The sequence below is a fragment of the Homo sapiens genome, chromosome 16, assembly GCF_000001405.40.
Source record: "Homo sapiens chromosome 16, GRCh38.p14 Primary Assembly".
NCBI lineage: Eukaryota > Metazoa > Chordata > Mammalia > Primates > Hominidae > Homo > Homo sapiens.
Window position 1 is genome coordinate 8,165,248 of NC_000016.10, and position 24,985 is coordinate 8,190,232.

General features: G+C 42.1%; 3 annotated features.

The window, feature by feature from the left end:
* Positions 13,195-14,132: an enhancer, noted in NCBI's record as "OCT4-NANOG-H3K27ac hESC enhancer chr16:8228444-8229381 (GRCh37/hg19 assembly coordinates)". NCBI's record gives its function as "activates a minimal SCP1, AML or CMV promoter by ChIP-STARR-seq in naive H9 embryonic stem cells {active_cell/tissue: H9 hESC(naive)}" and the evidence as "EXISTENCE:reporter gene assay evidence [ECO:0000049][PMID:30033119]".
* Positions 14,133-15,071: an enhancer, noted in NCBI's record as "OCT4-NANOG-H3K27ac hESC enhancer chr16:8229382-8230320 (GRCh37/hg19 assembly coordinates)". NCBI's record gives its function as "activates a minimal SCP1, AML or CMV promoter by ChIP-STARR-seq in naive H9 embryonic stem cells {active_cell/tissue: H9 hESC(naive)}" and the evidence as "EXISTENCE:reporter gene assay evidence [ECO:0000049][PMID:30033119]".
* Positions 15,639-16,838: an enhancer, noted in NCBI's record as "BRD4-independent group 4 enhancer chr16:8230888-8232087 (GRCh37/hg19 assembly coordinates)". NCBI's record gives its function as "activates an origin of replication core promoter dependent on BRD2, P300/CBP, MED14 and CDK7 cofactors, and independent of BRD4, by STARR-seq in HCT116 cells {active_cell/tissue: HCT116}" and the evidence as "EXISTENCE:reporter gene assay evidence [ECO:0000049][PMID:35650434]".

Below are 24,985 nucleotides of genomic sequence, written 5' to 3' on the forward strand. Positions count from 1 at the left end.
TTATTATTTCAGTAGTTTTTTGGGAAACAGGTGGTGTTTGGTTGCATGGTTAAGTTATTTGGTGGTGACTTCTAATTATTTCGCTGCACCCATCACCTGAGCAGTGTACACTGTATCTAATGGGTAGTCTTTTATCCCTCACCCCCCTCCCACCCTTTCCATTGTATCATTCTTTGCTTTTGCATCCTCATAGCTTAGCCCCCACTTACGAGTGGAGAACATACGGTGTTTTGTTTTCCATTCCTGAGTCGCTTCACTTAGAAATAATGGTCTTCAATTCCATCCAGGTTGCTGCAAATGCCATTATTTAGAATGAGCTCTTAAACCTAGGATTCCTGGCTCCTATTTCCTCCCCATGCACACTGGTGAAGGAGACTCACAGTGAAGCAGGAGCCTGAGTAACACTATGTTTCAGGCACTGTGCTAAGTACTGAGGGTATACAACGGGGATTAAGACTGGGTCCAGAGGCCAAGGACGGTGGCTCACATATGTAATCCCAGCACTTTGGGAGGCTGAGGAGGGCAGATCACTGGAGGTCAGGAGTTCAAGACCAGCCTAGCCGACATGGTGAAACTCCATCCCTACTAAAAAAATACCAAAATTATCCCTGCGTGGTGGTGCACCCTGTAGTCCCAGCTACTCAGGAGGATGAGGCAAGAGAATCACTCGAACCTGGGAGGCAGAGGTTGCAGTGAGCTGAGATCATGCCACTGCACTCCAGTTTGGGTAATAGAGAGAGACTCAGTCTCCAAAGAAAAGAAAGAAAGAAAAAGACTGGATCCAAAAAGATATAGAAACCCTCAAGTTCAACAGCTGGTTGGCCTGAAAAAGCACCTGGCACTGAGCCTGCTGCATCCCCAAGGAACCTTGAATCACACCTTTTATTGACACTCTTTTCCCCAGTTCCATCAGGATTCAGTCCATTCACCTTAGTTTTGGCCTCAGTTTCCTGACACGGCAACAAAAGTTTCCATTCAACCCTGAGCTCTGCCATTAATGCTTGCTTGCTTGCTCAGGCATGACTCTTTGCCTACCAGGAAAGATCCTACTGCGATAGCCATATATTCCATGAATCCTCCCTTGTATCACCTGCTACCTGGATCTTCAACTGCAATGCACAGTGTGTCTGTATCTGCATTTCTTCTCTTTTTTTTTTTCTTTTTTTTTTTTTTTTTTTTTTTTTGAGACAGAGTCTTGCTCTGTCACCCAAGCTGGAGTGCAGTGGTACCATCTTGGCTCACTGCAACCTCCGTCTCCCTGGTTCAAGCCGTTCTCCTGCCTCAGCCTCCTGAGTAGCTGGGATTATAGGTGTGCGCCACCATGCCTGGCTAGTTTTTGTATTTTTAGTAGAGATGGGGTCTCACCATGTTGGCCAGGCTAGTGTTGAACTTCTGACCTCGGGCGATCCACCTGCCTTGGCCTCCCAAAGTGCTGGGGTTATAGGCATGAGCCACCATGTCCAGCCTTTATCTGCGTTTCTCCCCACCCCATTGAGAGGAATCTGACCCCTGTTGGAATCCTAGTTTTGCCTTTTTAATCCCCTTGGATTCTGTGGCATCCCTCTTTATTTTTTTTCCAAAGAGCCAGTCTCATCCACCTGTGTTTCTGCTACCGTACCTCCACCAGGCTGTGCAGTTGACACATACTGTGTCAAGACAGAGATTGTGCCTTATTTCCTCTGAAACCTTAGCACATAGCACAATGCCTGGCACATGGAGGCTGCTTTGTAGTGATCACAGAATCCATGGATGAAGACTTCTTGTTGGTTTTTCTGCACTGCAATGTCAATCATTGCCTGTTGCCTGATGATAGAGTTGGTTACTCACCTGCAGATTCAGAACCAAACCCCCACAAGATGTTAGAAATGAGGCTTTTATAAATTTCTAGCGTCATCCAAAATTGGCTTGGTTACTGAGATGAGACTAACACTGGGTATTTGGGGAATAGAAAGCAGGAAAGGGACTGCCTTTTCCTAAATCCATGTGAGAAGAAATTGGGGAAACAGTAATTCAAACACTGCAGTTATCATTGTACCTAAGTGGTGTGGATGGCACATTCTGCAGACGTAGTAGGCCTCAGGGTTTATATCAATGTCATAATAAGTCAGCTGCTAGGAATACAGGGAGTCCTGAGTCCAAATCCTGCCTGCCACTAATTAGGTTGGTGCAGAAGTAATTGCGTTTTTTGCCTCTAAAAGTAACGACAAAACTGCAATTACTCTTGCACCAACATAATCTTATTGGTGTGAGCTTTAGAACATTTCTTGGGCTCTGTAAGGCAAAAGTTACACAGTCGATAAAATAGAAACAGGATGCCTCCACCAAAATCTCAAAGGGAGGATGGAATTAGTCTAAACGAACTGTCAGGTGCGAGGGTTGGCACCCACTAGGTGTGAGTCGATGTGCCAGCAGCTCTTCACTTATGACAGATTTGGTTCCTGAAAGAGTTGTCAGTGGGGGCTACTGTGAGGAGGGGGCAGTGGGGCTGGAGCTCCATCAGCCTTGTGCTTTGGTGACTATGCATGATTGTCCTTAGCTTTTGTCCCCAAATAAAACAGTGTCATAAGGACTCTTGAGCTGATTTCTGGCTCAGAGCCCTCCATTTTATGCTCTTAGCAAACTACCCATGATATTCTGCCCCAGTCTTCGGAAGGAATCTATTTATAGCAGCCATCATTAACTCTCCCTTCCCGGTCCACAGAGCCTCACCTGTTCCCCCCTCTCCTGCAGAAGTTGACTTCAGAGCATTTTCGGAGTCTTCTTTGTAATATTAGTTAACATGTACAGGAAAGCCCCAAGGTCATGTTCCACTCTTGGCACCCTTCACTTTAGATTTGAGAAATCCCCTAAAAGGCTTGTTAGCGGAGGCTGCCTCACACCTATGAAACTTTAAAAATATCTGGCTAATCAGCCACTTTGCACACTTCCACGCGGGCAGAGAAAGAACCTCTGCTTTCCTCCACATCCCTTCTCCCGGCATCGCATTTGTGCGGACGAGAGCTGTCAAAATCTGACTTCCTACGGTATTTAAAATACAAGACAGGGAACATCTCATCTGAAACCGGCATTACCACTTAAAGAGGAACCAAAACCAGGAGGGAGAAGCAGAAAGTGGAGTGGGGAGGAGGGCGTAGGATTCTGGAAGATCTTCCTTGTTCCAATTCACTTTTTACTAGAATCTGGTCATTGGAATTTAAAGGGATATTAACAATAATAATATGAAAATAAGTCATCACTTATCAAATGCCTGCTACATGCTAGGAACTCTGGTAACTACTCAATTTTCTTATCTGAGTCTCTCAAAAACACTGAAAAGTGGCTGGGTGAGGTGGCTCACGCCTGTGGTCCCAGCACTTTGGGAGGCCGAGGTGGGCGGATCAAGAGGTCAGGAGATCGAGACCATCCTGGCTAACACGGTGAAACTCCATCTCTACTAAACAAAATACAAAAACATTAGCCCGGCGTGGTGGCGGGCGCCTGTAGTCCCAGCTACTCGGGAGGCTGAGGCAGGAGAATGGCGTGAACCCGGGAGGTGGAGCTTTCAGTGAGCCAAGATTGCGCCACTGCACTTCAGCCTGGGAGACAGAGCGAGACTCCATCTCAAAAAAATAAATAAATAAATAAAATTAAAAAAAATAAAAAACACTGAAAAATAAATCTCAGCTTACATATCAGCAAATTGGTGTTAAGAAAGGGTTAAGCGGCAGTCTCAAACTAACACAGCCAGTGTGTACCCTGGGCAGGATTCTCTCCTATCTGTCTCCAAAATCTGTGCTCGTGCCAGTATGCATGCCATCTCCTAGGTGAAATGCAAATTTCCAACATGGACCATTCTCTAACCTACTTAGATGGAACTGCCATGGGGACTTCTCCTATTGCCTGCCCTTCACCAGAGATAAAGCCAATCGCTATTCTACAATGACATTTGTAAACTTGTGAGCCACACAACACTGTCATCAGAATTTTCTGAGAGTGTTTATCGAATACACAGATTCCTGAACCCTCCTAAGAAGTATTGAATTTGAATCTCTGAAGGGGGCCACGGACACCTCGCGTCATTGAGCATTTCCCGGTGGTGCTTGTCCACAGTGATGCTTCTTAACCACTGTTCTATGTCTAAGCTGATTTGCAGAGATTCTTTAGGGCTTGGCTGCGGATAAACCCTGCAGATCCTCTGCAGAAAATGGAAGGCTCCCTTCTCAACACCTCCTCCTAGAAAAGTCAACATCAGGGTGAAGGGAGAGAAAATCCGCAGTCCGTGAGCAGATGAATTAGTCTATTCCAAAAGGTGCCCAGTACTGAATTATGAAAACAAAGATAAGTGGCACAAGAAGATATCAATTTGTCAGACTCACAAGGAAAAGTCTCGTGAGTTAAAATAGCAGCATCTTAGATTTTGAACTCATAGACTGGAGAAAGGGGGGATGATGGAATTAGAAGAAAACTTGCTTATTTGGACAGAGGGAGGGACTTGAGAAAATATCACAGTTATGGAAATGATTCAGGAGAAAGCAGTTCGTCCAGTCAACCCAGGCAGGGGAGTAGCTAGCAGAGGCTGATTCATTTCAGGCTTCCATCTGGGAGGCAGAAAAACAGGGAGAAAATGTGTCCCTAAAAGATGGAGATATGAGGAAGGAGCTGGCAATGATTGACACTGCAGTGCAGAAAACCCAATGAGAAGCTTTCGTCTATGACTTTCACAATCACTACAAAAGCAACTACTGTGTACCGGGCACTGTGCTATGTGCTAGGGTCTCAGAGAAAAGAAAACACAATCTCTGTCCAGATACAGTATGATTCAACTGTCACAGTCTGGTGGAGGGACAGAATTATAAACAGACAACCATAACATGGTGTAATAGCACTGTACTACAAACAGAGGCAAGGGGACCGTGAGAACATAGAGGGAGGGCTGTGTTAAGTTAGGGAAGGTAAATCAAGGAAGGCTGCCTGGAGGTGATGACGTCTCAGCAGCCTCTGGGTAGATTAGAATTAGGCTGGGAGGAAAAAAGGGGGACAGATTCAGAGCTCCCACAAGATGGGTACAAACTAGGCTTTTGTAATTTTTATTTTTTATTTATTTATTTTTGAGACAGAGTCTTGCTCTACTGCCCAGGCTGGAGTGCAGTGGTGCAATCTCGGCTCACAGCAACCTCTGCCTACTGGGATCAAGTGATTCTCGTGCCTCAGCCTCATGAGTAGCTGGGATTACAGTAGCCAGCCACCATACCTGGCTAATTTTTTTTTGTATTTTGAGTAGAGAAGGGGTTTCACCATGTTGGGCCAGGCTTTTCTCAAACTCCTGACCTCAAGTGATCTGCCCGCCTTGGCCTCCCGAAGTACTGAGATTACAGGCATGAGCCACCGTGTTCGGCTGAGGCTTTTATAAATTTCTATCCTCATCCAAAATTGGCTTAGTTACTGAGATGAAACTGAGACCAAGAATTTGGTGTTCCTGGTGTTAGATCCACCAGGAATTGGGGGTATAGAGGGCAAGAAGAGGAATGACTCTTCCTGGACCCATGTGGTGAGAAGAAATTGGGAAAGCAGTAATTCAAACACTGCAATCATAATTGCCCCTAAGTGGTATGAATGGCACCTTCTGTGGGTTCAGAAGAGGGTAATGGGAGGCCAAAATGGCCACCAAATATGGAACAGGCGGAACTTGTGTAAGGGGCTGGTTTTATATTGGTGAGGTTGGAATAGACAGGAAAATTGAATGTGTTAAATAGTTAGATTATAGTAGTCAGTGTAGTCTGGGTATGCTGTTCCCACTGTCTCCTCAGACTTGGGCTCTCTGGACGGGGTTCTTTTGAGGATGGGTTAGTATTTATTAGGCATAGAGAAACAGCATGTCTCAAATAATCCTTCTGAGTTCCCTGAGGAGTGGTTTCCTATGTGCCGAGGGTTTGTTTGAGTGCAGAGGACACTACAGAAGGATTGCATGTTGACCTGTGGCATTTAATCAAAATAACCTTTCTGTTCCAATGTAACTGTTGAACACATTCAATTTATTTGTCTATTCCACTGGAACCTTTAGGGAAGGTGTCGTTCATTGACAGTATTTGGTCTAAATTCTAAGAGTGAGATTAATGAAATCCAGTTTGCCAAGTTGAATGAGAACAGAAGATGGGTAGTCAGATGTCTGTCATTATTTTTATTTTTTTAATTGTATTATTATTTTTTTGAGACAGAGTCTCACTCTGTCTCCCAGGCTGGTGTGCAGTGGTGCTATCTTGGCTCACTGCAAGCTCCACCTCCCGGGTTCAAGCCATTCTCCTGCCTCAGCCTCCTGAGTAGCTGGGACTACAGGTGCCGGCCACCATGCCCGGCTAATTTTTTTGTATTTTTAGTAGAGATGGGGTTTCACTGTGTTAGCCAGGATGGTCTCGATCTGCTGACCTCGTGATCCTCCCACCTTGGCCTCCCAAAGGGCTGGGATTACAAGTGAGCCACCACACCCGGCCTTTGTTTTCATTTTAACAGAGTTCTCACCAGGTGTGGTGGCTCATACCTGTAATCTCAGCACTTTGGGAGGCCGAGGCAGGAGGAGTGAGCCCATGAGTTAGAGAACAGCCCTAGGCAACATAGCAAGACATTGTCTCTACAAATAATTATTTTAGAAAAGAAAAAAAATGGAGTTCTCAATGCAATTTGAGCCATACGCAGAAGATAAAACACAGGTTTTTAATCCATAAAGCACAGGTCTTAATCCATAGACACCAAAAAGATCTCTGAACCCCCTAAAATTCTTTAGTCTTTTGAGTACATGTACATAGCTACATTTTTTTTTCTGGGGAATAAATCCATTGCTTTAACATTTTCAAAGAGGTAAGGCTCACACACCCATGCAGATGCATTCACACTCACACAAAAGGTTAAAAGCCGTGGATTTAGGGCGATGAGCTTGAGTAAAGCATTGAACGTTGGAAGCCTGAAAAGGTTTATATTTTGGTTTCTGTCCAAATCACATATTGAAGGCACCTTATGTAAGCCAGGCATTTTTTTTTTTTTTTTTTTTTTTTTTTTTTTTTTTTTTTTCAGTTAGTCTTGGTTAAGTTGGATTTGATGATGAGTTAGGATGAAGGTAAGGTCAGAATTGCGCCACATTCAAGAAATGCACAGACAGATAAGTCTGATAATTGCCCCATAGGGAAGAAGTGCACGAGACACCACAGTCTGGCAGAGTGACCTAATAGCACTCTTTCTGTGTAGGAAATAGAATTAAGTAGATATTAATTGAAATGCAAATGTTTGATTTGCATCGAATTGAATAGAAAGAACCCTTTATGTGCACTTAATACTCATGTACACGTTGCTGTTGAGGGCAAACACATTTGGCATTTTTGCCCACTTGATGTTTACAAAAAGGGAGGCATTCCCATTTTGCAAACAGCCCACAGGTACATTAAATAACCCATTTCATGATGGACATCTGGACTCCTCAAACCTGCCAAAAGTGGCTAGGCTCACGGCCGCCTTCCAACTTTATGATGGAGAACGGCTCCCTTCAAATGTAAAAACCATCACTCAGCAAAGCGTGGCAGGTTGGGGTCTCATCTGTCCAAATGTAGCACACACATTCATTTTGATTTCAGCTGTGTCCAATTCGCTGCCTGCATATGCAATATCGCACACACCTGAGCAGGAAAAAAAAAAAAACCTTGTCAATTAAAGCAGCAATTTTATAAGGTGGCCTGACAGTGGTCACCTGAATGATGGCGAAACTCATTAGTGAGATACATAGGTAGGTAGGAATAACTGACAGGCCTCTTTAATTTGGGATTTTGTATAAAATTGTGAAAAACAGGCTTAGCTGAGCGTAATGAAACCCACACTGTGCAAGAGAAAGCAGAAATATTTGACTATGGAGTTATTATAAGCATCGTTTCTAGCCTTCCGCACTGAGTGTATGATAAAGTCCTTGGCCAGGTGCGGTCAGGATAATTCACTCCAACTTGCTCCAGTCCATCCTTCACTTCCCTTTGATGATCTTTTGTGTGTGCGGTACTCATTCCAGCCAGTGCGTTTGAACGGCGCTTGCAGTAAAAGCTGGGAGAGTTCGAGGTCGCCACCTAGTGGCCAGCAAGACTGCTATTCACGCTCCCATTTTGTCCCGGACCAGGGGTCAGTTTGCAGATCCTTCATGAGTCATTGTCATAATGGGACTCAAATATCAATGTTTGCCTCTAAAGTTCACTTCAAATAGAAATGTTAAAAAAAAAAAACCCTAGGATATCTCTAAGTGGCGATCTCTTGACCTCAACCCATTTGATGCGTGCTATACAGATAAAAAGCAAAACCCATGGCAGAAAAGGCTATTTTCGGAGGCCCACGATGTAAAGAAAGCATAAGCAGGCATATGTATACATGTGTATTTTTGCAGGCGTGTATCAGAAGTTGCAGATGCAAAGATTTTGCAATTGAAAGTTTCCAACTTTCCTCCCATGTAAATATAATATTTTCATTTTTGTGCACAAATGGTTGACTTTCAAGGTATAACAATTATGCAATTAAAATAAGAAAGATTGTACTGAGTACCAATTATGTGCCTGGAACTGTGCTAGGCAATTTTCATATGTTATTCATTAAAATGTATATAATTCAATCTTACTAGGAAGGGGCCTTAATGTGGGTGCAGCCCAGCCTTTCTACCCAATAACAAAAAACCCTCCACACTGGTGCCTCTCAAATATCTATGAGGAAGAACAGGCCAATGCTTTTATTTATTTTTTTATTTTTATTTTATTTATTTATTTTTTTTGAGACTGAGTCTTGCTCTGTCGCCCAGGCTGGAGTGCAGTGGCTTGACCTTGGCTCACTGCAATCTCCGCCTGCCTGGTTCAAGTGATTCTCCTGCTTCAGCCTCCCAAGTAGCTGAGATTACAGGCACCTGCCACCACATCTGGCTAATTTTTATACTTTTAGTAGAGACGGGGTTTCACCGTGTTGGCCAGGCTGGTCTCAAACTCCTGAGCTCACGTGATCTGCCTGCCTCGGCCTCCCAAAGAGCTGGGATTACAGGTGTGAGGCACCTCACCTGGTTCATTATTAAAAAAAAAAAAAAAGTTATTTGAAGAATGAAATTAAATGTGCAATATTCAAGCCTAAGTTATTTCAATTATTTTTATTATTTGATTCAACAAATAGAAAATTATTGTATCAAATTGCTAGAAAACCTTATAAATTCTTGCTCTCAATTTCTGAATTTACTTCGCTGCAGACCAGTAACAATGTGTAGACTGGTGTCAATATTCAGACCACATTTTGAATAGAGCTGATCTATAGGATCCTTGCCTGGCATCATCTAGTCACGGAATAGCTTCCATGCCCAAGACTACTACCTCACAACGCAGCCCATTCCATTGCTGGACTGGTTTGATGACCGCAAACCTAAATCTGCTTTTCTGTATTCATTGGCTGTGACTCTACCTCTCATCCATCCTCAACAAGACTCATCTTTCATTCCCCAGTCACAGCTTTTCAGATATAGGATAACTGCCTCAGGATCAAGTTCTGACTTCCATCCTCCTTCTACATACTTGATTTTGCAATAGTCCACTTAAAGTGGCTTTCAGGAATAAATGCAGCTGGAGGCAATAAGAGAGGTTTCCACCTCATTGTCTTGCTTCTCTGTCACCTAATTTCTGACTTATTCAAAAGAGGAGAGAAGAGTGATCTCATGGTTCAGGATGCAGATACTATTTGACCCTGTTCACGGTAGGCTAGGTCACTGTGAAGTTCAAGATCATGCACCCAGGAGTTATTCTCTCCTTTGCATTTCTGCCATCATTTGACAGAAAGTAAAATGTTCATGGCTGCCTGATTTCATAGGAGCATTCAGGATGGTTACTCTCTTTTCTTGCATAATCTAAAAAGCCATTGCTTTAAGTTCCTGTATCATGTGGCTGGCAATACATGGAAAGATACATCAATTCATATTAATGTTTAAAGGAGCAGGTAAAGAACTTGCCTAGGCTTCAAGATAAAGCCAAAAGCTTCAAGATGGCTCCTTCAAAGAGGTTCTTTGGCCTGGACCTAGGTAGTTGCAAATTCATAGTCGTATTTTCACTTGCTCTGCCTTTTGATGTGAAATGTTGATCCAGTTACTAAACATTCCTGTGCCTTAATTTCGTCCTCTGAAAAAAAGTGGATATAATAGAATTTACTTCATATGGTGGCTATGAAGATTAAATGACATTTAACAAAATAATCCATGCAACACACTTAGAACAGATCACCAAACCTTGGAAGCAGATGCTTAGGATGATTTTGATTTTTAACAGATGACTATTGTCTTTTAACTTCCCAGGGAACTTTGAGAAGATGTGTTTGATTGGAAGGCATGTGAATATTCCTGGAGCTTCTAATCAAAGACCATGAAATACCATTGCAATGACATGAAGTCAGAATACATACAGTACGGTCTAACCACCAGGAAGTAGGAAGGGAAATTTACCTTTCTGGTTCTGAAGGTGTTCTTCCTGTTAATTTAGCCGTCAAACACATCAGTTTACTATGGCAGTGCTGGCGTTGCTTTTACTGTTAGCCACTTTGACTTGTTTTCTTGTGATAACATCATAATCTTAGTTCATACTGACCTTTTCCCCAGCCAAAACACCTAAGTAGCTCTCATTTGTGTCTCTCTAAGCACATCCTTTATCCTCTACTTGGACTTCCTTTAGGGGATTGGGTGCAGAATCTTATGTGTATTCCTGTTCAGTTTTATCTCACACTTGGCCCACGGCTTCCAAATATCATCATTAGTATTAAATAGAGATGTCATCTAGTCTAGGGTTTGGTGCACCCTATTTTTTTCCATAAAACTCTGTGTTCAACTCATATCTTGTGTGAAATCCAAGAAGTTACAGCAATGACAATGGAGATTTCTGAGAGAAGTGGGGACAGGGTCTTGCCCACTGGACTTCCCCAGAAGCCACTGGAAGTCCTTTATAAAACCCCAAGAATCTGAGAAGCCAAGTTGTAAACATGCTTCCTAAGCCTAACTCTATTATTTTACCAATGGGGAGACTGAGGCCAAGAGAGCATATGAGAGTTATACAAAATGATGCAGCTAATTAATGGCGCAGCTGGGTCTATTTCATTTCTACTAGAAAAATGGAAAATGGGATATCACCTTTCCTTAAATCCAAGTCTTAAATGTCAGAATCTATCAGCTTTGGAGATTTATCTGTGAACACAGGGTCAAAGCTGGACTCTGAAAGGTTAAGCCTTTAATCAAATCATGGAATTGATCCCTTGCAGGTCAAGTGGATTCCTATAAAATGTGCTCATGCATCATTAGCCACCTATCCAATTTTGTATATGTGCAACACTGGTCATTTAATGGGATTTGGTTAAAAAAATGCCGCAGCACAGAATGCCTTCAGTTGAGAACTCCATGCAGCAGTAATGTTGTCTCAGGTAATTTATTCCTTATTCATGAAGTTCTTCTGACTCCAGAGGTTCTGCTCTTGACCACGATGTCTGCTTCTTCTCAATGTGCTCACTGTCCTATAAATAACGCAGTTAGCAAAGTGAGCTGAAGAGGAGCTGACATTTAGCAAAGAATTATTAGATTCCAGGCAACTGCCTTAAAATATTTTTATTAATTTATTCATACAATGCTCACAATCACCCTTTGAGGTAGGTAGGTAGTAGTACTCATAGTAGTAGTATTTTAACCATTTCATATATATCCATATGTCAGAAATATATACATTCATAGATATAAATAGCTATGAGAAATATATCTATTCATATATAGAGAGATACATGTAAGTTATATAGATTATAAATCAGGGACCATCTGTATATATATTTATAGGCCATCTGTATATATATTCATATTATACAGATGGTCCCCAACTTACCATGATGCAACTTACAATGGTTCAGCTATGGTTTTTCAACTTTATGATGGTGCAAAAGTAATACACATTCAGTAGAAACCCATACTTCAAATACCCATACAACCCTTCTGTTTTTTACCATCAGTACAACATTCAACAAATTACATGAGATATTCAACCCTTCATTATAAAATAGGCTTTATGCTAGATAATTGTGCCCAAAGGTAGGCTAATCTAAGTGTTCTGAGCATGTTTAAAGTGGTTAGGCTACGCTACGATGTTTGGTTACGAAGTTACATATATAAAATGTATTTTTGACTTCGATATTTTCAACTTATGATGGGTTTATTGGGATGTAATGCCATCGTTAAGTCAAGGAACATTTGTGTGTATGTATGTGTGTGCGTATAGATATATATGTGTGTGTATATACATATATCTCAAGTCTAATTATCTAATTATCTCTATATTATATATTCATATAAAGTAGCTTGTCTAAACTCACGTAGCTTGTAAGCAAAAAAGACAGAATTTGAAGTCAGAAACCCCAGTTTTGGCTGGGTGCAGTGGCTCACACCTATAATCCCAGTACGTTGGGAGGCCAAGGTGGGCAGATCACCTGAGGTCAGGAGTTCGAGACCAGCCTGGGCAATGTGGTGAAACCCTGTCTCTACTAAAAATACAAAAATCAGCCAGGCGTGGTGGCACATGCCTGTGATCTCAGCTACTTGGGAGGCTGAGGCAGGAGAATCACTTGACCCCAGGAGGTAGAGGTTGCAGTGAGCCGAGATTATGCCACTGCACCCCAGCCTGGGCAACAGAGAGAGACTCTATTTAAAAAAAAAAAAAGAAAGAAATTCCAGTTTCTAGACTGTGAGTTTAACCACCTTGCTGTGCTATTGCTAACAATTATGCCGGATGCTTTCATCCACGGTATTTCATTTCAAACACACACACACACGGAGCCAACTTATCCATTAGGTACAGTAGGCACAGTGCCTACGGCTCACAATAATTTTCGGAGTGTATGAAAATGTTTTCATGTCTTTTAAAAACAGAAAAAAAAAGAATCAACTTTAGATTAAAGAAAATGTCCTGATATATAATCTCAATATCCTTGCCTTTATACCAAATGAAATATGCTGTTCAATATTTCCTATGGAGAGGGAGACTATGGCTTTGGAATATGACCTTGTGTGTACAAACGGCACTATTATCCCCATGTTGCAGAACATGAAGCTGAGGTTCCGAGAAGCGAGTTCACATGTCCCAGTTAACTCAGGACGCAGCAGACAGGACCTGCACACACGCTGTGGTCTGTGAGCTCCAAAGTCAGCAATCTTTGCAGCAGATGCTTTCATGGACAATGGCAGAAAGGTTCTATTTTAGAGTTCCCTTTCAGGAGGCACGAATAAACATGCTCTCTCCAGCTCGAAGCCAAAGAACCCCAGGTGCCACCTGGTCATGATATTTTGGGGTAGGGAAGCAGGCATCCATGGTTACACCCTTCTTCTACAATCTGGAAACGCAAGAAGAAAGGAGGAAGCTGGAGGGACTGTGGTTAGAAAGAAGCTAGGAGCTGAGCAAGCATTGCCCATCTTCAGGGTCTTTGTTTTTCTCAAGGATAAAAAAAAAAAAAAAAGTATTCTCTTCCCACACTCTGTAGGGGTGGGTTGCCCCTACACACCTGTGGGTGTTTCTCGTAAGGTGGGACGAGAGATTTGGAAAAGAAAAAGACACAGAGACAAAGTATAGAGAAAGAAATAAGGGGACCCGGGGAACCAGCGTTCAGCATATGGAGGATCCCGCCAGCCTCTGAGTTCCCTTAGTATTTATTCATCATCTGTGGGTGTTTCTCAAAGAGGGGGATGTGTCAGGGTCACAAGACAATTGTGGGGAGAGGGTCAGCAGACAAACACGTGAACAAACGTCTTGGCATCATAGACAATGTAAAGGATTAAGTGCTGTGCTTTTAGATATGCATACACATAAACATCTCAATGCTTTACAAAGCAGTATTGCTGCCCGCAGGTCCCACCTCCAGCCCTAAGGCGGTTTTTCCCTATCTCAGTAGATGGGGCATACAATCGGGTTTTATACCGAGACATTCCATTGCCCAGGGACAGGCAGGAGACAGATGCCTTCCTCTTGTCTCAACTGCAAGAGGCATTCCTTCCTCTTTTACTAATCCTCCTCAGCACAGACCCTTTACGGGTGTCGGGCTGGGGGACGGTCAGGTCTTTCCCTTCCCACGAGGCCATATTTCAGACTATCACATGGGGAGAAACCTTGGACAATAACTGGCTTTCCTAGGCAGAGGTCCCTGCGGCCTTCCGCAGTTTTTGTGTCCCTGGGTACTTGAGATTAAGGAGTGGTGATGACTCTTAAGGAGCGTGCTGCCTTCAAGCATCTGTTTAACAAAGCACATCCTGCACCGCCCTTAATCCATTCAACTCTGAGTTGACACAGCACACGTTTCAGAGAGCATGGGGTTGGGGGTAAGGTTATAGATTAACAGAATCTCAAGGCAGAAGAATTTTTCTTAGTACATAACAAAATGGAGTCTCCTATGTCTACTTCTTTCTACACAGACACAGTAACAATCTGATCTCTCTTGCTTTTCCCCACACACACTCCAGCCCAGCTGTCTACAGTGATAAATGATGGGCCTTTCTTTAAATTTCCTTTCTGCTCTGCGTGAGGACTGGCCAGTGTGGATATGTACTCGACACGGATAAATGGCTCTGGCAAGCCCACCAGACTGTCCACGTGGCAACAGATGGTCCAGCTCAAAGCTTTTGTTGTGCTAATGTTGGAACTTGCTGCTACCTGAAGCAGTTATCGTTTCATAAACAATGATGCTGCCACTGCTCTGTGGATAAACTGTCCTTTATACTTTGCAGGGCCCACCATGGGTGTTGACGGCTTCATGATGGTAAGAAGAGAACCCCCAGTCATCCAGCTGGCGTGGCAGCCAAAGAGAAACACTTAATCGGATGGAGATGGTGAGGTTGGAGATGATATTTGGCTTCTGTTCATGTGCCATGCATAAGTCCAGATGTCTGCCCTGAATTATGGTTGATGAGAAGGAGTAAAGTTCCACTGTGTTTCAGAGTCAGAAGTGAGATTGGAGACAAATTGTTCCCTCGGAGTCTTGACGTTTACACAGATTCCCTTAGACCTTTGGTAGAAATTGTAATAATGAATATATAGGGAAGCGGTAATAATGAATATATAGAGAAGGGGTAATAATGAATATATAGAGAAGGGGTAAAAATGAATATATACAGAAGGGGTAATAATGAATATATAGAGAAGGGGTAATAATGAATATATAGGGAAGGGGTAATAATGAATACATAGAGAAGGGGTAATAACGAATGTACAGGGAAGGGGTAATAATGAATATACAGGGAAGGGGTAATAATGAATATATAGGGAAGGGGTAACAATGAATAAATAGGGAAGGGTTTGAGATTTTTCAAGGACTTACTATGTTCAAGATCTTATAATGACATAATTATTGTTTAATTATTGTTGGTAGTAGTATAGTAGTAATTGTAGCAACTATCTTTTAATGAGAGCCTTCTTAAAGGCCAGGCACTGTGCTGAGACGTTTACACAAATTATCTGATTATAATTATTGCAAGAAATTCACAAAGGAACTGAAGAATAGTGTGCTGGTGAATCAGTTCTCTGTTGGGGAGGTGGGGGCAGAGCCCTGCTGTGTAGTGTTTGCTGATTTCTCTAGTGTAAATGCTCCCACCGTGGCCAATTTTAAGCTGCCAACAATGTAACAACCTGCTCACAAAATTTATGAGTATACAACAATCAGCCTTCGTGAACCAGTGCAAGCTGGTTCCAGCACATCACTGAAACTCAGGTACAGAAGGTTTGACCAAGATCACCCAACTATTAAGGGACAGAACTGAGATATCTGCTCAAGAACTCAATATACTGCTCTAAATCTATAAACCCATCAGCTATTTCAATCCACATAACAAATCCATGTAGCATGCATTACAAGAGACCTCTGACTTTCAGGAGTTAAACAAAAGAGCTGCCCAGCATCACACACCTGTGATGGGACCGGATTCAGGCATGGCCTGTCTGAGCTCACAGCAGAGGCCCTGGTGCCAGCCAATAACAAATGAAAAAGCTGGAATGAATATTTATCACATCTTTGTTTTCCCTTGAAGAGTGGAGAAAATCAAAAATGAAAGCAATCCATATCCCGAAGAAATCCATCTCTATTGGTATCATCTCAGACATTGGTCATCGTATTTGGGGAAGCAGCCTGACTGGGTTCCTGAAATCACACCACAGAGGTGATGGCAGTGGGACTTCGCCTGCCCCTTAGGTTAAACATTATCTGATTTAGGCTGTAGAAGTTATTTAGAATCTTCAAAGTTGCTTCAGGTGAAGGCTGTTGGAAGGCAAAGAGTATTTTCAACAGACATTCTTGGTAAAATATCTCATCTTCTTCCTGAAAACTCCAGAGAGCCCACCAGAGCATATAATAGTCGCTGCTCCAAGAAGGCTGAGATTCTAGGATGCACGCACAGCCCACTCTCAACTCATGACCTCCTCTGTGCCCAGGGAGCAGAACCTGCTAATGAGAGGAACAGAAAAACCCACACAGGTGAGCCCAGCAGATATTAAAACTTGTTCCCCGTGGTTATGTGTCTCCCTTATTAAGTCATAAGCTCCCACAACCTCTTTAATACATGGTAAATACTGAATGAATGAATGAATGATTGCAGAAAACGTTATAAAGAGGAGACAAGAAACAGCTCAGATATCGAACTACCGTATTTCCTGATATGCAAGAATCAGAGGTATACAAGAAACTACTCTCATTTTACAAGGACATTATGGGAAGGAAGGAAGGAGAACCAGAATAGATTTCATCATCCATGTGTTTATAATTATTTTCAATTGCATTTATAATGACAGTTTTTTTGTTTATGCTCATGCAAGTATGTTTATACTGAAATGATACAAATTCTTTTGCACCACTGAAAACCAAATTATTATTTTATATCTGTTTGATTCTCTGTAATCCATTTACTATTTGGGCATCTTAGATGAAGAGTATTTTAGGGTTTTGGTTTTGTTTGTTTGTTTGTTTGTTTTGACAGAGTCTGGCTCCATCATCCAGGCTGGAGTGCACTGGCATGATCTTGGCTCACTGCAGCCTCTACCTCCTGAGTTCAAGCCATTCTGCTGCCTCAGACTCCCTAGCAGCTGGGACTACAGGTGCGAGCCACCACGTCCAGCTAAGTTTTTGTATTTTTAATAGAGACAGGGTTTCACCATGTGGGCCAGGCTGGTCTCAAACTCCTGACCTTCAGTGATCCACCCAATTCGGCCTTCCAAAGTGCTGGGATTACAGGCGTGGGCCACCATGCCTGGCCTATTCTAGGTATTTTAAAAAAATGCATTAAAATGCCTGCAAATACAGTGCCAGTTTTTTAAGGAATATTCCATCCCTAAAACTCTCTAATTATTTGTGCCTTGTTTCCCCCTCAGAGGAGAGTGAAATATTTCCCCAAATAGAAGGTTAACAGTTGGGATTGTTTTTGTCAGTTTTGCTTTGTCTCCCCCCAACCCTGCCTCATCACTATTGTGAGAGAGAATGCACATTTTTTCTACCCACGGTAAAATTGACAACGGAAACACTGTCTTCTCCAATTCCCAATGCACTGCACCACTGCTGCAGACAAACAGTGAGTCTGAAGTGAAGCGGGAGGGAGTTGGTAGAAATAAGGCCCCACCCAGCGTGAAGCTTCCAGATGATCTGGGGGCCACGCGATGCAGGTGCTATCAGCAAGTAGCAGGCTGCATGGCTGGCTTGTGAGTTATTGCTGTGGTCACAAGATCTCCTTGCTGTAGCATTCTGCGTGTGTAGGTGATAAATCTTAGGGACACGAGGGAACACATCAGGCTTCTCTCCTCTGGCCCATTATTTTTCTCCTACATCATTTAGAAAAGTGCAGGTCTGGACCTTTTAATTTTTTTTTTTTTTTTGATCATGAATGTTTTCTTCAGCTCCATGCCACATTTCCTTCTGCATGTTCAATTTTCACAATGGAGTGTATTTTTAAAGCGTGGCTCAATAGAAGATGAGAGAACAGAAACCTTAAGCAGGAGACAAGAGAAAGAGACAAATACACGCATTTGCTCTCTTTGTTCTCTTGCGAATGGCGATGTGAAAGTCTGGTGGAGTCAGATATAGTTCCTGCTTGCAAAGGGAGCAAAAGGGAAAGAAACTTACATCTTTTAAGACCATGCTATGTACCAAAATCTACACTAGTCTGCAGAGAGAGCACGTCATTGTGGTCAAACGCGTCTATACTGCAAGTCAACGTCCCTGGGTTCAAATCCCAGCTCCTCCTCTTGCAGTTGGATGCCTTGAACAAATGACTTGATGTCTTCACCTGTAAAATGGGCATAATACTAATCCCTACATCACCGGACATTTTAAAATTTAGATTAAGTTAAACACAACATGAAATTAAGCATGTTTAAAAGTATAAATAAGTGGCATTTAGTACATTCAGAAAGTTGTCACCTCTATCTAGTTCCAAAGCATTTTAATCACCTCTAAAATAAATCTTGTATCCATTAAACAGTCACTCCCCATTTCCTCCATCCCAGCGCCTGCCAGCCACTCATCTACTTTCTATCTGTATAGATTTCTTTCTTCTGGATGTTTCCCATAAGTAGAATGATGCTATATGTGACCTTTTGCATCTAGCTTCTTTCACTTAGCATAATGCTTTTGGGATTCATTTACATTGTAACGTACATCAGTACTTCATCCCTTTTTTATGGCTGAGTAATATTCCATTATTTGGATATGTACATTTTGTCTTTCTATTCAAACATTGATGGATATTTGAGTTATTTCCACCTTTCAGCCATTGTAAATAATGTTACCATGAACATTCATGCACAGGTATTTGAATACTTCTTTTAAATTCTTTTGAGTATATACAGTTATTTCTCATTATTCCCAGTAGTTATGTTCTATTAATACATAGCAAACACTGAATTATCAAATACTAAATCCTAGCTAAGAGAAATATATCTGTTTCTCTATCTATTATCTATCTAGATAGCTAGCAAGCTATCATCTATCTAGTGTGTGTGTGTGTGTCTGTGTGTGTGTGTGTGTGTCTGTGTGTCTGTGTGTGGTAACTCATCCTGGGAGATTCTATTTTATTTTACAAAATAGAAAATAAAATTCAGAAGTGCTGGAGTGGCCGAGTGCAGTGGCTTACGCCTGTAAACCCAGCACTTTGGAAGGCCCAGGCAGGCGGATCCCTGAGGTCAGAAGTTCAAGACCAGTGTAGCAAAACCCTGTCTCTACTACAAATGCAATGCAAAAAAAAAAAAAAAAGAAAGAAATTAGCCAGCATGGTGGCACGCACCTGCAGGCTCAGCTACTTGGGAAACTAAGGCAGGGGAATAGCTTGAACCCAGGAGGCAGAGGTTGCAGTGAGCTGAGATCGGGCCACTGCACTCCAGCCTGGGCAACAGAGCAAAACTCCACCTCCAAAAATAAAAATAAAATAAAAACGAAGTGTTTGAGTGACTTGCTTGAGGACACCGCACCGACAGATGCTTTAGTTGTGCTTCAAACTCTATGTATAATTGGCCCCAAAGCCAGCGCTTCTTGCACTGTTCTGCGCTACCCATTACCAGCTCCACCCGGTGGGCATCTCTGCATGAGAGCTGAAATTAGAAGGTAGAGCAAACTTCCCTGGGAATGTGTGCATCAGGCAACTCAAATTTGGGGTTACTATATGCACGTCTGCACAAATAACCCTAAAAGAGCCATAAGAACTGATTTGAAGGTTACAGATAGATTTCAGCAAAAAGGCAAATTTACAAATACAGAATCTATGCATGAGGAGGATCAATGGCACCTAGGTGTGCAATTGCTGAGTCAGGTGGTAATTCAATGTCTGACTTTCTAAAGAACAGCCCAACTGTTTGCCACAGCAGTTGCACCATTTTACAACCTCACAGAATTTTTATGACAGATAAAGAAGTTAGTATTTGTGGGAAATTACAACAGGACCTGGCAAATAGTTACTTAATGTTAATTAAATTAATTAAATAGGTAACACTGCCAGTGTTAGCTGCCAATCTCAATTCTTTCCCACTAATAGGAGAGAGTAGCTCACAGTCAGATAGTGTGGGTGCACTAGTAAGTCTAATTCAAAACAGAAAATGATAAGTGTTTCAGAGCAAAAACTACATTCAACCAGAGGGGGATGCTTCATTTGTTTTTACATTTACCTATATCCACCTGGTGCCACCCACGCGATGTATACTCAAGAAGTGAATCTATTGTCTGTTTTACAATTACTTTCTTTATAATGAACTCACACAGATTCATCGCAGAAATTTGGGGAATCACAGACAAGCATAACAAAAATATTGTGACTCACTTGTAATCTTGAAGTCTTGCTTTTGTATTGCATTTCCTTTCTTTGTTTAAAGCAGTTAAACTCATATGATGTGTGGCCGGGCACAGTGGCTCACACCTGCAATGCCAGCACTTTGGGAAGCCGAGGCAAGTGTATCACTTGAGGTCAGTAGTTCGAGACCAGCCTGGCCAACATGGTGAAACCCTGTCTCTATTAAAAATACAAAAATTAGCTGGGCATGGTGGCACTCGCCTGTAATCCCAGCCACTCAGGAGGCTGAGGCAGGAGAATCTCTTGAGCCTCGGAGGCGGAGGTTGCAGTGAGCCGAAATGGTGCCATTGCACTCCAGCCTGAGCGACAGAGTGAGACTCGGTCTCAAAAAAAAATAAAAATTAAAAAAAAATCATACGATGTGTGCAGTTTTGTAGCTGTATTTTTCACTTAACGCTATACTAACATGTAACCATGTCCCTAAAGAGTCTTTGAATTCCTGATTTTTAAATACCGCATGGGGTTTCCTTGTGTGTTTATACCATACTTTAAATATTCTCCCATTGCTGGTTATTGTCTCCAAATTTCTGTTACTATTAACAACACAATAACTAAAAGGCTTGGACATGAATATTTACAGGCATTAATGATTATTTCCACAAATTTGATTCACACAAAATTGCTTAATCAAAGGTTTGTCTTTTTAATACTATTTTACATAGAACTAGTTCCTCAGGGAAGTTATTTTTCTGCTTTTTGGGTTTTTTGCTGTGTTTTTTTTTTTTAATTTATCTAAATGCTTTTACTTTATTTTACCCAGCCGAATCAAGGCTTTGTTATGCTTACATTTAGTACATATTTTTTTCTCACAACGTTTTCTTAGTTTGCCATTCTGTTGGGTTGGCGCAAAAGTAATTACCGTTTCTGCCATTTCAAAATAACAGCATTTAAAAATAATGGCCAAAAAATGCAATTACTTTTGGGCTAACCTAATGCATTCACAGTGAAATTATTGGATTAATGTCTCTCTTCCCCCACTGGAATATAAGCTCCTAAAGGGTCGGCACTGGACCCATTTATTTCTATGGATCCAGCACTCAGTAGGGTTGGTACACGGTCAGTGCTCAGACAACAGTAGAGGCATGAATGGGTAAATCTCTCCACTGAGTTTTGATCAATTCTCACTTCCACTAGTGGTGCATGAAGATGCATGTTTACCAACCCTTCACTCACCTCATCTCCACCAGGATTTTCAATGTTGCAGGTATTATGATTAGAAAAATAGAGTTGTCATTCTGATCAATGAAAATTGGGATCCTGTTATTTTATTTTGCATTGCATTGATTACTAGAAACATTAAAATTTTTTCTCTTCTTGGCTGGGCACAGTGGCTCTCACCTATAATCCCAGCAGTTTGGGAGGCCAAGGCGTGTGGATTACCTGAGCTCAGGAGTTCCAGACCAGTCTGGCCAACATGGTGAATCCATGTCTCTACTAAAATAGAAAAAATTAACCGGGTGTGGTGGTGCACACCTGCAGTCCCGGCTACAGCTACCTGGGAGGCTGAGCACGAGAATTACTTGAATCTGGGAAGCGAAGGTTACAGTGAGCTGAGATGGTGCCACTGCACTCCAGCCTGGGCAACAGAGCAAGACTCTGTCTCAAAAAAAAAAGAAATTCTCTTCCGTTTAATATTTGCACTGATTCGTTACTTCTCCTCTGTTTCGTTACTTCTCCTCTGTTATATACTAATTCATATACTAATTCATGTTCTTTGCCCAATTTATTTTGTTTTTTGCCCGGTTTACTTGGTCCACATTTATTGAATATTTCTCTACTGGGCCCCAAGCTCTCCCTGGCAATTTTCTGTGCCTTTAATAAGATTATTTCTTTAGGTGCGCATGCATAGGGTGCAAACATAATTCCTCATGCTGTTGACATGGTGAAAGTATATCCTTCATCTTTTCATTTCTCAAATATCTATGTCATGGTGCTGGAGCACCTCAAGGAACACATTCAGGCAGTGTTCTATAATCCTGTGAGTGTTGGATTCTTAGGGTGAACATGGGGAAAGACGGCTGGGAGAAGCAGTCTAATTGACGGTATTTGGTTGTTGTGTATCAGACTCCAATTTGACCTGGGCTTAAATCTCAGCTACTCCACTCACAAGGTACATGACTGAAGCAAGAAACCTAGTCTCCCTAAACTTTTTTTTTTCATTTGTAGAATGCAGACTGGTAATAGGCAATGCATAGAATATTATAAGAATTAACTGAGGTAAGATAGAAACAGAGAAAGAAATAAAGAAGAGAAAGAAAGAGAGAGGAAGGAAGGAAGAGAGAGAGGGAGGGAGAGAGGGAGGGAGGAAAGGAGAGAGGGAAGGAAAGAAGGAAGAAAATGAATGAAGGAGGAAGAAAGGAAGAAGGAACGAAGAAAAGGAAAGAAGGAAGGAAGGGAAGGAAAAAAGAAGAAAGGGAGGGAAAGGAAGGAAGGAAGAAAAGAAAGAGGGAAGGAAGGAAGAAAGAAGGATGGGGGAAGTAAAGGAAGGGGGAAGAAAAAGAAAACGGAAAGGAGGAGGGAGGAAGAACAAGAGAGGGAAAAAAAGCCTATTTCCCATTTCATGAGTGTGGCTTGTATTTGAACACTTTCTGTTTGCTCGATGAGGGTGTTTCCTCACTTCCAGGGCAGTCTATAATCCATCACTGTTGTCTTCCTTTGGAAGCTGTTATGAGGAGTTTTAACAGTCTCCGTTCTGTTTGCTGGAAGCTGATGGAAGAACTCTCCTTATCTCCAATATTAGAACTTGTAGAAAATCGATACAGGGTATAACAACCTTCACCATCATACTTGGTAATAAAGCCTAACTAGAAAATGTGCAGAAACTTTCTGCATCTGGTAACGTTTTGCTGGTGTGAAAAGCAGCCCAGATTATCCGGAGTGATTCCCTTCATTGATCGAAGCATATAAAGAGGAAGGTGCTTTGTATCAGCCCTCATTAAAAATGGAAGACTTGTCTACAACTTCTAACTTGAAAAACTGACCCTGTTGGGGGGAAAGCACAGGATGTGCCTGAATTTTGTTTTTCTTTCCTCTCGTGTCTTTAAGAAACATGCTATAAAGACAGTCTTCTTAATGCCAGCAGAAGGCCGTACAGTTCTGAGCCTTTCATAAATGACATTTGTCCAATAGTCTGATTTACTAAGCATGATTGAAAACCACAATCAGGCCACAAGTGATATTCAGGGAAAAAAAAATACAACAACAAAAGCATTAAGAAACAAGACAGCTTTCCAAGGCTATGAAAACTTATCCAAAAGGAAATATATCACTCAAATATTTACAAAATTGCCGGTGCAATTCAGCCTTCTCAGTAGCAACGATTTTTATGTCCTAAAGAGAGTTTGTATCTAGAGGTAATTGTGTTTTGCAGCAGTTCGTAAGTCTGGGCATTTACGCTGGCAATTCCAGATTTATAGGAATAGAAGAAATTTCCGTGCATGATATACTGTACAAATTGTATGTAATAACCACAATAAAAAATTTCATTAGGCCTGCTATCACCAACCACCAATTCCCCGGGGAGAATTTATGTGCAAACTTCAGTTCCATTTACCATCTGGGATATTCTTTGGAGGATGGGTAGCCCCGGGTTCCTTGGAAAAGATAAGGGGGTATATATATCCTCTCCGTCTCTTGCCTTTGGGACAATCATTTTAGAAAAAGAAGGCCTTTGTGTCTGAGGGAGCAGCAATCTCCAGACACCCCTCCATGAGCTTGCTCACATCCCTCACCTATCCCAAGATCACTTCGGCAGCTGTCCTTAAATTTTGCAGCTCTCAAGTCTGAGCACTACGTCCTGTTGCATATTTTATGCAACCCATCACGGAGATGTGGATGCAGATTTCCATAGTTATAGAAGAGGAGGCAGAAATGGAAAAGACAAATTGGGTCATCTTATAGTTTGCAGCTGTGAAATCCATTTCAAAATTGCAGCCTTGCAGGCCTGAGAGGCTTCCCCGGACTCGATGGAGATATAATCATGGTATCGCCAAGGAATAGCATTCAGGCCTGGCAGTGCTTCTAGGCGAGTAGCATATGTCCTCATAAAACGTCCTCTTTATGACCAGAGTTTCTGTGCATATGCTACAAACAGTGACAACCTGGATCTCGCCTTTGGTAAGGGAATAGGAAATTAAACATCTCACCACCGCTTTGCAGAATGGGAGTCGGCATTCAATAAGAAAGGCTTCCCCCCACCCTCCATCCCTCTCCACAGCCTCCTCCCTGAGTTCTGCCTGTGCCTTATTGATGAGCACGTGCCTGTGTCTGGCATTGTCCAGCTGTCCATGTCCACAGAGCAGGGCAGGCACAGTTCCAAGCTCGTCCTAGAAATCTCCTTGGTAGATTCAGGCTTGAGGAGGACGCGAGAAGGGATGGTAAGGAGTGGGGCTTTTGGAAAGCATTTGAGGATGTTCTAAGTGTCTATAGACAGTTAGAATCCTAAATTCAACTTGTTAAAATTGAGTTGCCGAGTGCCAATCCCTACACTTTTCATTGTGTACATAAGACCTCATTTTATCCCAAGCACCCCATATGGTAATAGGACTGCCCAACTTTATTTTATTTATTATTCATTATTTATTTATTTATTTGAGACAGAGTCTCACCCTCTCACCCAGGCTCGAGTGCAGTGGCGCCATG